The sequence below is a fragment of the Homo sapiens genome, chromosome 10 (genome assembly GCF_000001405.40).
Source record: "Homo sapiens chromosome 10, GRCh38.p14 Primary Assembly".
In the NCBI taxonomy this organism is placed as follows: domain Eukaryota; kingdom Metazoa; phylum Chordata; class Mammalia; order Primates; family Hominidae; genus Homo; species Homo sapiens.
This window is the reverse complement of record NC_000010.11, coordinates 59,168,344-59,181,374: the sequence shown is the minus strand read 5'-3', so window position 1 is coordinate 59,181,374 and position 13,031 is coordinate 59,168,344. Positions and strand designations below refer to the sequence as shown.

The following is a 13,031-nucleotide window of genomic DNA, read 5'->3' as shown; positions in this document are numbered from 1 at the left end:
AATTCAGAATTTACAGATTATAGTAATTACTCATGAAGTTGAAGTGATTTCCTATAACATGTAACTGAAATTAAGAAAAACGACAAGGACCTAGACACTGGCAAAAAAGAAATTTTAAAAAGCAGTGGTTCAATTCAAGAAGTTACGTGGACAATATTCCATTCAGAATAATAATTATTACTGTCTATTTTGTATTAATATCAACACTGGTAAATTCTATGAAAGTAATGCTTTACTTATTTAAACAATCCTACAGGATTGGTATTATACCCACTTTACATAAGAAAGCTTGAGGCTAAAACAAGTTAAGTAATTTAAGGTTACACGGCTTTCAAGAGCCAATATTCTAACAGGGGTGGTCTGATCTAAAATGGTATTATCACTATGCTACACTGCATGTCACTGAGACTGAGTAATGACTACCTTACATTCTTGTAATAAAGACTATTAAAGTTAACAGTTATGGGTACTCCTCTTAGATGTCTGCTTCAGAAAATGCCATTACGGATTATCTAACATCACTGTGCTATTAAGCATTTGTTACTTTTTATTTCCAAAGTTAAAATTTGTTTAATCCACATGCCAATAACATAAGTGAGGTCTTAATTGACTTATAATTTAAATAAATTTGATAAACTCAACATTCAAAGAAATTTATCTTTTTAAATATGTAAAAGAGATAAAATCTTTTTTTCCTCCATTTTTTCCACGTAAGTATTGTTAGAGACAAAGACAAGGAAATCTGTTAGCTTCTGTGTAATTTCTTTCCAATGTGTTTCCTTGCTGACTACATCATAAACCCTATGGTTTATACCGTATCTGGACAGTCATAAAGTGCCGGACTCATGAAAATAATATTTGTTAAAGCCACGAAGCCTTGAGGGTAGATTTAAATGTTTTAAAACAAATTAATTATGTATTTTCTTCCTTACTATAACAAAGCTGGAGGCAGCTTAGATACATGTAAGGCAACATGTAGATAAATCTTTCCTGTTCAACGAGGAAGAAAAAGTATATATATATATATATATATATATATATATATATATATATATATATACTTTTTCTATATATATATATTATATATGTGTGTGTATGTGTGTGTGTGTGTGTGTGTATATATATGATTAAAAGACGAAAAGCACAAGTAATATAAAATTCTGTGTGTGGGGTGGGAGCTGTTTTGTCTTGTCACAGGTCAGTGAAGGTCTGAAGTATCTATCAAACTGTAAATGGGCTCCCATATTATTGTTTCCAAACAAGAAATTTTCTCTTTCATTTTATTTGAAAAGTCATAATAAAAGTACATCATGTATGCAATTTGAGTATACTTCAGCACAGCAGAGATGGAGAAACAAAAATACTCTTCTACTTGCAATAGGAATAGAAACCTCTGGATTTACAGTATATTTTCAGAGTAATACCTGGGCAAGGACCAGGTCCTGGCAAACAAAGTACACATGCCTAGGGAAGACAATCCATGAGGTAGTGTGTGTGTGTGTGTGTGTGTGTGTGTGTGTGTGTGTGTGTGTAACTGTCTTGCTTAATTGAAAAGCCAATTATATGACCATGTGGACTCTAACCCATATTCTTCAGAAACTATTAAATATTTTTAGAAACTATGAAAAAAATTGAATTATTGTTTATAATGTAATCATCAATTCATAGGAAAATAGGCAAGTGACAGACAAAAACAAAAACAAAAAAATCCAATGAAACATAAGAGAGATATACAGTTATGTTCACCAGCAGGCATAACTCTTGGTTGATACAGTATGAAAACATTATAAAATTAAAAATATCTCTGATTGGAGAACATAACTATACTTTCCCCTATTCTATTTTATTCCACTTCCAGGGAATTAATGTTTCTCTCATTTTTTTTCATCACCAAATTAACAGTAGATTAAAAGAAAGTGAGAAAAGAGCAAACAAAATAAATGTATTCTATCATAAATTATGAAATATAGCTCTTATTAGGTACTTAAACACAAAATAGATCTTCTGTCCCATATTCTGCCACATCCTTTTCTATGTTACATAGTTACAGAAGTAAAATAACGAGACTTGAGTGGAAAGAAAGTGAAAGGAGGGAAGCAAAGGGAGTAAAAAGCAACTAGCTGAAAATCTCTCAATACAAAATGATGCTAAGTAAGGTCTGTTTGACAAATTTAATGCAACATTTCATATGCTGTTCTATTAAAAACAAACGACATTATTCCCCCTAAATTATCCCTTTGAAGCCAACCAAGTTAATATTTTTGGAATTGACATGTAAGATAGGATAACAAAATAAGTTAAGCATTTAACAACATCTCTAAACAAAGTATTTCCAAATTTTATACATCTTCTAGTAGAAGAGTTAGCTCTTTGTATTTGTTGGTGTATACTATTTTATAAAATAAAACCCTATTTAATTAGTCTATGTAAATTACTTGGAAGTCTGCAAATAGTAATTTTCATAGATGTTACTTAGTGCCAGCACCCTCCCCAAAATTAAATGTTACATAATTTGTTCATTTTGTGGGATTCCTAATTTGAAAAGAAACAACTAAAAAATAATACCAGAATAAAATAGCTACTCCTCTAGGGGATCACAGTAAATACAGCATTATTTTTTGCACTCTCTTAACTCTGTGAACTTCATTAAAAAGTTTAAATTTTCCCTAATATCTTTGAAACACGTGGTAAATGCGGTTTTAAGTATTGAGATTACTGGGTTCTGAAGAGCAACAATGAATGCCTAATTCCATTGAGTACAAGAATGAGCTTTTGCTTTATCATTGCAATAAATAAAAATGAAGTCTACTTTTATTAGTCTTGTGTTTCTCTCAACCCTAAGAAAATAAAAATATTTACAACTTGCAATGGTTACATTACAAAAAGTCATTTCATAAAAGTCTAAACTAAAATCCAAATGACTTCCTATGCGTTATTAAAAATAATCTTTACAGTCTATAATCATGCAAGCTTACATATGGAATACCAAAATGATAAATGTTTTTAGATACCATAAATATGTGCACTTACTACCATGGTGACTAAAACAGTCTAAGAATAAAGGAAATACAAGCTGTCTTTGCAAACGTATTTATTTATTCATATACTACACCTGTATCAGAAATTAAAGTGGTTTTGGTTTCAAAAAGTTTGAATTCTGGTTTCAAAATTATTAAATATAAATTTATATTAATAAATATAAAATTTAGTAATAAACAAATTCGGTGCTTGCTTGATATAAACGTGCTGAATAGCAATGCGTAACCAAGTGATTACCATTTAAATGACTTTGGAAACAAGACCTCTGCTCCCTATTTGGATTAGGCTGATAAATTTTATGACCTTACTGTGAGCGTATTAGTATCTGTACATAACTTTGGTTAAAGACATGTTTTACAATCATTACCTCTATATACAGTTAAACATTAATTTCATTTACAGTCAAAAGTATTTGGGGCCCTCTTAACAACATGTGAACTGTGTTTCCTTTGTCAGATGTAGAATTTTACAATTATTCGGCCAACCAATTACTAATCAAATGATTTCTTTACAAATGAAGTTTTGTACCACATTACTAAAGTAGCAGACTCTAACTAGTCCAGCTAACCCAGAAGCACTGTAACTAACCACACCGCACACAGCACTAGCTTATGTCTTCAACGCTCAGACCTGTATTCAATCAATTTCCTTCCACAGGAGCCTGCCAACTTCAACAACAGAATAAACGATATAATATCAACACGCAATGGTACGTACTCGCCACAAAGTCTGAATCACAGCACATATATTAGGCCAATATTTTCGACAGTCTGACTCAGAGCCCAGGAACCATGAAGATTGTGTCTGTCCTTGGTGCTGAAATGCACTGTTTTTCTGCGCCCTCACTGAAAAACTGTCATCCTAATCCCAATCCAAGAGGCTAAAAAGACTTGTTAATTTGGGGAGTCTGAGGATGGGAGGTTTAAAAAAGAAAATGATAAGTTTCTGGAAGAGAATGCCAACTAGTGTGTGTGTGTTGGGGGAAGGGGGTTGCTAGAAACATCCCGAGGGCATTTCCCCTTCAGTGCCCAGAGACCCAGGAAATCCGGACTGCGGCAAAGATCGGAAACGCCTCGTCGGGGCAGGAGCCGCGAGCGGGAACGTCGCCCTCGTCCGGGCCAGGCGGGCGAAGGCGGCGAAGGGCGCCACGGTTGTGGACGGCTACTTTCCGCGCCAAGGCGCGAGCCCCGGGGTCCTTTTGTTTCTGGGGTGAGGGGAGGGCGGTGGGCGGAGGGTAACCCACATCTGCATTTATTTGCACAGAGGGGACAACAAAAGACCCTGCCGCCCTGGCGAGCGGCGTCGGCGGAGCCAGAGTGGCCCCGGCGCCTCGGCGCGAACTCTGTCCCTTTCCTCGCGGTCCCGGCCGCTCTTACCGTCCCGGTCGCACAGCTGAATGGCCTCCAGGCTGAGGTTTTTGATCACCTCCTCACAGGGGCTGGTGGGGCTGTTGAGGGCATGATCCAGGCGCGGCACCTCCATTTTTCCAACCCACTCTGAAGCCCGCCTGCTTCGTATCCAGGCTCTCTCTGCCGGCCGGGTGGGCAAGAAGAGCGGGAAAGGGAGGGGGAGTGGCAGAGGGAGGGAAGGAGGCCTGGGACGCGGTGATGCGGCGCCGAGGCTGAGGCGCGGGGCTGGAGAGCCGCCGCGAAGGCGACGGCTGTGGCAGGAGCTCCGCGGAGTGTGCGGCTCTGAGAGACCGAGCAGGACCCGGCGCGAGGATGGGAGGCGCGCGCTCCCGGCGGGGAGGGGACGCTGCTCTCGGGGAACGTGATGTATAGGGCTTCGACGCGCGCACGCGCGCGGGAGAACGCGCCCACCTGCTGGCGCGCGGTGGTCCCTCCCCCGCCCTTCTGCGCGCACGCGCCCCCACCTGCCCTCCAGCCACTGCCAAGGCAACCTCGCGCGTGAGGCGTCGGGCGACCGAGCGCGCGGGAAGGGCGAGCGCTATACGCCGCGCGGCTGCCTCGCCCTCTCTCCTGGTGATAGCCATTTGGCGTCTTCTGTCTGCTCTCGGTGCCTGGCGAAGCCCGAGTTGGCCCTGAGGCGTCTGCACGGGGAGGCGAGGGCGAGCATGTTTGTTGTTTACCAAGAATTGGAAAAATAAGGGCCCGGACTCTTCGGACTCTCTGTACGGTATTGGGGTGTGGGAGCCACCTCCTCCCCTGAAGGTCCCAGGATACTCGCTGCCCGCACCCTGCGGGCTCGGCCGGACATTCCTCGGAAACAGCTGCGTCTGTGTGAGAAATGAGCGGATTACCTGAGGCGTGGAGGGGTTTAGAGACAGCATTTTGCCAGTCCACGACACTGAAGCGGGGCAAACGTGGGAACTCCTTACTGCCAGAAAGGTGAGGGAATGAGGAGATGCAGCAAGCCTGCTGAAAAGGCGGCAGACATGCTGCGGGGCCAGCAGCCACGGGACCAGCAGCCACGCAGTCTGCCTTCGCAGCGTAGCTTCATTCATTCATGCGCGTAGCAAATAAGTATTCAATGCTCACCCTATGCCATTGTTCTGGGCGTCAATGAAGGGAGTATAAACAGCACCTGCTCCCATGGATTTGGAAGGAATCTTTGCTACAATAGCTAATGAAGATTGACTTGTGCTTCCTCAAGCTACTCTATAACTTGTATGCCCATTGATTTTAATTGCATTTAAGATTCTGCAGTGCACTTAGTGGATGTGCAAACGTTTTAAACATAAAATAGAGGTCACAGCCTATTGACCTCTGTTCCCGTTTGCTTCTTTGGAAAAGTTTTTAGTTTTGTTGCTATCTTGGGATCAAAAATAGTGTCCCCTCTTTTCTTAATGTGCTTATAAATTAATATAAGTTCCCTTTTATTGATTTTCCATTTCAAACATAAATGTTAACCAACAAGTAACAGTTTACACATAGATGTCTGTATGCTGCTCTTTCTAGTCACATCCATTTAGCTATAACATGATGAAGTCTAATTAATTGAAGCTTCAATAAATGGAAGGACCAGCTTAAAGTAAAATAAGCCTGTGAAAAATCTTGGCACAATTGAAATTTCATAAATATCTGTGAAAGATAATTAGGCATCTTAAAGTGAAAAGTCTTCATTATGAACTTATTAATGAAGATGGATGTTTTTGAAGTTTGAAAGAATTCTTGTCTTAAGGTAGGGGTGTCCCCAAGGAGAGGGTAAATTATTACCTGTCAAAGGATATGACAAGAAAGTACTTACTGGTGAATTTTCTGTGTTCGAAAGCCTGGCTCTGTAGAACTAGAAATTGGTATTGTAAGCCCAACAGTGGGTTCATTTTTTAGAGTAGTCTCAAATTTATAAATCTCAAAAAAAAGGAACTGTGTAAACTAGAATAACAATTTACTGATTTTCAAGTAAGAAATACGACATGCATTTAATTCAAACTCATGCAAATATTTATGAAGCACCTATGTCCAGGACACTGTGCTATGTGTTGAAAATTTGGAGTTCAAATTTATCAAGAAAGATATATATTGAAAAAGTAAAAGTAGGATGGGTGTTAAGAAAGAGGAAGTATGGGAGCTTGTAGAAGCACGCACGAGGTTTATAACCTAGGTTAGATGGTCAGGAAGATCTCCAAAATGATTTTATCTTAAGGGAATGAGAAATTATTAAAAAGGCTTTAAATAGGAAATTAGCATGATCAGATTTGTCGGCTAGAATATTTGTGTAATCGGAAAGGGTAATGTTTCAAGAAGTGTATTAATGTCACTTTCTGGGTATACAACTTAATCAATCCAAGGCACCTTTCTGCTGAGGATTTGGATTCTTGTATAAAAAATACAAAAGAAATATTTACTTTTTAACTTTCGATATTAAATATAGGATTTTTTAAATCGAGTTTTTAGGCTTCAAATCGAGGCATTGTCAAGACATAAAATGTAAATTTGTTTATGGTTCAACATATCAAGGCTAGGCCTGGTGGACCAAATGATAGGGTTTCTCCCATAGTAAAGACAAGGTATCTTAGTCCAGTATGAAGGATTTAGTCAGAGATTGATATAAGGAAGGTGGTGGCTATGAAGTAGGTAAAGTAGAAGAAAATCCTATTCTCTTTGGCTTGGAGAATTACGGGAAAGGGGTAGAAGAGCTCAAGAAAGACACCAGAAACATTTTTACTGTTCCCACCCTGAAGATGTAGGGTGAGGGGTTGTGGCTTTAGAAATATCCAGATTGGTGTGGGAAAACTCAAGGACAGAGAAATTACTTTCCCAATTCTCAGATATCTGGGAAGATATCAGGCTGAGCAGGAACCACATTCCAGTAACCTTGAACAGGGCGGAGACAGGGTAGGCATTGACTTTCCAGAGTGCTGTAAGTTTCTATGTACTGTTGAGACTCAGAAAACAATACTCCCCTCCTCCCCAAAAAAAAAAAAAAAAAAAAAAAAAAAAAAAAAAAAAAACCTCAGAAGTAAAAGTTTTTCCTCTCATCTTCTGACCTTCAGCCTCTCAGTCTCATTTTCCCCTGAGGCTAGCTATAAGAAACTAGAATCCCTGTTCCCCAACGTGGGTTATAGAAACCACAATTCCTTTTCCCCAAAGCCAGCCATAAAATCTGAAAATATTACTCTAATTTTTCTTCTGCTTTTCTGTGTAAAAACTGGCCATAAAGAAATTATCTTACCTACCTTGTTTAACTGAAGGTCATAAGATCCTCATTCCAGAGAGGGCCCTGCCACATAGCCAAAAGGAAGAAGTGCATGCTCAGACAGGTCAAGAAGAATCTAGACAGACAGGCCTTTCTGGGTTTCCCTACTCAATCTATTAGTATTAGGTCATATCCCTTTTGTCCAGTCATATTTCTTCATGACTGTTCATACCTTGTTGAACCTAAGGATTAAAATGGTCAATTTTCCCTGTGTCTTTGGTCTTCATTCTGAAGGCTTATGTTGGAAATGTGGTGTTCAAATTTCATGTAAAGCTATGATCAAATAAATTTGTATGCCTTTTCTCCTCTTCATCTGCCTCTTGTCAGTAATTTTCACCTAACCTTCAGAGGGCTAAGCGGAAGTGTTCTCTTGGCTCCAACAGTACTCAGAACGTGGTTGAGTTGAGAGCTATCCAATCTTCCCTGAAGTTTTTTGTTAAAAGAGCAAGGTGACACTTTAGCAAAGGCTATGGAGTGGACCTTCTAGACCAGGGATGTCTAAAGTACCAAAGAGTTGAGACCCGTCCGTCAGAGATGGCCGCAAGGCCCTGAAGCACAGACCATGAGTTTCTCTAGCTACCAACTTCAAGTGAAAGACCAGAAGCAACTAGACATATGAGGAATGTCACCTCAGAGACCAGAGGAGGCAGAAGAACCTGTTCAAACCAAATGACCCTTTGTCCCAATGCCTCAGGTAATGGTATCTAGGGATATCTGATATTTCCAGATACTATCTAAAATAGGATGTAGGGGAAAGGTGGAAATCTTAGAGACTGAGGGTCTTAACGTAATAAACTTGAACTTTAAGGAACTGCTTAAAATACTGAATGAACCCAGGTTTCTGGGTTAGAATAAAAACACATTATTTCCCCTCCCGTTTGTCAGTGACTGAGATTTCATGAAGATGATCGAATCAGTTTAGACAAAATGAAAATTCTACCTTTTTGTACCTAAATTGCAGTGTAGTTGCAATCCCCATACACTCAACATCACTTAATCATTAGCTTGAGATGTCTGCTATTACAATCAAAATCCTACCAATCATCCGAGCCCCAACTCGTATGCTACATTCTTTTGAAATGATTCCCTCTGTCAAAAACCTTTATGTTGTATTTCTGTGGGGCTTTATAGTTCTGTTACAGACATCATGTTATGATTTATAAGTTATTAATGTACATGAAGAATCAGAATCAAATTTTAGGGACTTAAATATATCTAATTCAATACCTTATCCAATGTCAAAGCCCTTGACAAGAAGTTATTTATCTCCTAATAAATATTAAATTAAAATCCTCATGAAGTTATCCAAAGTCTTTCGCATTCTGAGCCCAAACATATCTCCTATAAGAGCACTACAAAGGCCTTAATTTTCCGATTTGTTCGTGATACAGAATAATAATCCTTCCTATTATACATATATATTCAAATATCTGCCTAAATACTCACGGTTTTTGCAAATGTTTGTGATATCCCATTGTTTTGAGTCCCTCTGTCACTCTACACACTCTCTTCTAGATAACTCCAATTTTTCTGAGTCCATAGGTAAACACACCAGGTGTGGAAATATAATAAGAATATAAAAGAAAGCACAGTAGAGTAACACCATCTTTGTTGTGTGTGCCAGACATCTTGTAATGCAGCCCAGGAGCCCATTAGTTTTTTTGACAATAATATCGCTCTGCTCACATATTCTGAGCTTGCAAAGACATAAAAATCCTGTATCACTTCTGTGAACATTTCTTATTTCTCCTGTGATACTGTAGATTTTAAGCACATATTATAGTATTTGCAAAGAGAAGATACTTAGGACAATTTGCTGAATTATTTTAGTGAACTCCGATACTTCGAATGTATTTAGTTATATTGCTCCAGCTAGCCTAGGATTTTATCAAAGTAGGCTACACAGTCCTTTTGGTAGGCTAGTCCATAGGTCTATCTTATTCATAATAAAATGACCCACAACCCCTGGCACAACTAAGGATTTTATGACTCGCAGAGGGTGCCAAGAACCAAAACCAAACAGAAACAAACTCCACAAAATGCATAATAAATGAGTGCATCTTATTTCCTCTCATAACACTATGGAAACTTTTCCTAAGCCCTATTGTAAATGGAAGGGCAAAGGAAAACTCATAATCAATAGAAACACAGTTGAAAGCAATCCAAATATTCTAAATTGTTTGTCCTGACTCAAGAAGTATTGGGACTTGTGAAGATCAAGTAACATAATGCATATAAAAGTATTATTACGAACTATAAAGCACCCCCAAAAGTTAGGATATTATTACTGTAGGACACCAAAACGACATTAAGAAAGCATATTTGGTTAATTTTACAGTACAAATTTATGGAAATAGTTTCATAACTTCTTAAAAACTGAGAACTTTCATATTTAGACTATCTTTATGGTTTAATGTATTGAGGATTTTAAAACACAAGGATGATTTAACATACAAATAAATAAATATGATATACCATATTAACAGACTATAGGACAAAAACCATATGATCATATCAGTAAATGCAGAAAAGGAAGTCAACAATGTTTAACATCTTTTCAAGATAAAAACCGTTAACAAATTAGGCATTGAAGGAATGCATCTCAACACAGTAAAGACTATGTATGGCAAGCCCATAGCTAATATCATGCTTAATCGTGAAAAATTGAAAGCTTTTGGTGGTTCATGCCTGTAATCCCAGCACTTTGGGAGGCTGAGGTGGGTGGATCACAAGGCCAGGAGATCGAGACCATCCTGGCTAACACGGTGAAACCCCGTCTCTACTAAAAATACAAAAAATTAGCTGGACGTGGTGGTGGACGCCTGTAGTCCCAGCTACTCAGGAGGCTGAGGCAGGAGAATGGCTCCTGAACCCAGAAGGCGAAGCTTGCAGTGAGCTGAGATCACGCCACTGCACTCTAGCCTGGGCAACAGAACGAGACTCCGTCGCAAAAAAAAAAAAAAATATTGAAAGCTTTTCTTCTAAGATCAAGAATAAAATAAGAATGCCCATTCCCACCACTTCTATTCAACATATTACTGGAAATCCTAGCCAGAACAATTAGGCAAGAAAATGAAAAAAGGCATGCAAATAGGAAAGGAAGAAAAATTATCTCTGTTTGCAGATGACATGATCTTATATATGGAAAATCATAAAGACTCCACCAAAAAACTCTTAGAACTTAAAAATTCAGTAAAGGTGCAGGATACAAAGTTGGCATACAAAAATCAGTGGTGTTTTTATACAACAGCAACAAAACAGCAAACTTTTTGAAAATCAAGAAAACAATTCCATTTACAATAGCATCAAAAAGAATAAAATACCTAAAGTAAGTTAAACCGATGATATGAAAGATCTGTACAATGAAAACTGTAAAATATTGATGAAACAAATTGTAAAATACACAAGTAAATGGAAAGATATCCCACCTTGATAGATTGGAAAGATTAATAGTGTTAAAATATCCACACTGTCCAAAGCAACCTACAGACTCAATGCAATCTCTATCAAAATTCCAAAGGCGTTTCACAGAAATAGAAAAAACAATCCTAAAATGTACATGAAACCACACACACACACACACACAAACTGAAGAGCTAAAGTAGTCTTGAGCAACAGCGAAGCCAGAGGCATCACAGTTCCTGATTTCAAACTATATTACAAAGTTAGAGTAATTAAAGCAGCATGTTACTGGCATTAAATGGACACATAGACCAGTGGAACAGAATAGAGACCCAAAATAAATCCATGTATTTAGTCAACTGATTTTTGACAAAGGTGCCAAGAACACACAATAAGGAAAGGACAGTCTCCTCAATAAATGGTTTTGGGGTAACTGGATATCCACATGTGGAAAAATGAAATTAGACCTTTATTTCACACCATAGAAAAATCAACTAAAAATGAGTTAAATACTTAAATACCTGAAACTATAAAACTAATAGGAGGAAACGGGAAAAGCTTCATGACATTGGTAATTGCGGGGGGGGGTGGGGCATAAACCCAAAGACACAAACAGCAAAAGCAAAAATAGACAAATGAAATTACATTAAACTAAAAGGCTTCTGCAGAGCCAAGAAAACAATAAACAGAATGAAGAGACAACCTATGGAATGGGGAAAAATTGTTTGCAGACCATACGTCCTAAAAGGGGCTACTAACCAAAATATATAACAAACGCAAACAACTCAATTGGAAACAGTCCCGATTTATGAAAACAGCCCGATTTAAATAGACATTTGTCAAAAGAAGACGTACCAATGTTCAACAGGTATATGAAAAATGCTCAAAATCACTAAATGTCAGAAAAATCTAAATTAAAACCATAATATATTACCTCACACCTGTTAAAAGAGCTATTAATTGACAAGACAAAAGATAACGAGTGTTGGAGAGGCTGTGGAGCAAAGAAAACCCTGCACATTGTTGGTGAGAATGTGAATTAGTACAGCCATTGTAGAAAACAGTATGAGGGTTCCTCCAAAAATTAAAAATATAATACATGATCCAACAATCCCTCTGTTGGGTATATACCCAAAGGTATATCCTAAATACATGTAATTTTTATCAGTCAAAATATTTTTTAAAATTTAAAATGATCCCACCCTCTCTTTCCTGGGGGGAAAAATGAAGGCAGAATGAAGTTGCTCATTTGCTCTTATCTTTAGCTCAGTAGGTTCCGGTAACTTGTCACTTCTCCTTCCCTCATCTGTGCTCTTCATTCAGTGCCTGTGTACTGCAGGATAGACATAGCTTCCTATTTTTCTCCCCTCTAGCTTCTTCAGTCTTTCTCTTTCTCCGGACTCTCTTTTCTTTCTCTTTTTACATTGCCAAATCTCCTTGATTTTAAAAACTATCTTACTTGAACCAGTTATTGTCCAATTTTAATATTCTAATGTATGGAAGGGGCCCATTATAAAATGTGAAGTGCTATAAACGTGGTATTCATTGCTTCCATTTACTTTTTATCCTCATACAATGTATCAGCAATCTTCAGCACCCTGCTTACTCTTCAAATGTCATTTGGATTTGGTAAGATTTTCATATCACCAAATGTAAAGGCCTTTTATCATCTGCATCCTCTTTGATATTTCAGCAGTTTATTTCTGCTGAACTTCTGTAGTGCTAAACTCTACTGGATCTCTTCTGATATGTGTGCTTCCTGTTTATCAACTCTAGCTTCTATGCTACCCCCTTGAGTGTAGGTGTACTTTAAAGTTCAACCTTTGACATTATGTTCTTTTCTGTTTAAAACTGTTTCCTCTGAGAATTCATGAATTCTCATGAATTTTAATTTCCTCTTAATGTTTAAATTCTCACCTTTATTGTCAGAT

The 13,031-nt window shown here is 38.1% G+C and overlaps 1 protein-coding gene and 1 long non-coding RNA gene across 6 annotated transcripts in view; one reads left to right on the top strand and one right to left on the bottom strand.

Annotated features, from left to right (window-relative positions):
• Positions 1 to 7,778, bottom strand: part of PHYHIPL (phytanoyl-CoA 2-hydroxylase interacting protein like) — a 74,174-nt gene extending 66,396 nt beyond the window's left edge. For 2 of the 5 annotated variants that reach the window (XM_017016783.3, XM_011540276.4), the window contains exon 1: positions 5,300 to 7,778. Coding sequence is in view for 2 of the 5 variants with exons in the window: in NM_032439.4 (NP_115815.2) it covers positions 4,416 to 4,521 (106 nt within the window). In the remaining 3 variants the exon portion in view is untranslated. Of the gene's footprint in view, positions 1 to 3,756; positions 4,212 to 4,415; positions 4,733 to 5,299 lie in introns of those variants that run through there. The other 3 variants (XM_011540275.4, NM_032439.4, NM_001143774.2) reach the window with 2 other exon arrangements.
• CCEPR (cervical carcinoma expressed PCNA regulatory lncRNA) lies at positions 4,911 to 7,412 on the top strand. The gene has a single exon (NR_131782.1). It is a non-coding gene; the product is annotated as a cervical carcinoma expressed PCNA regulatory lncRNA (long non-coding RNA).
• Positions 7,779 to 13,031: the final 5,253 nt, after the last annotated feature.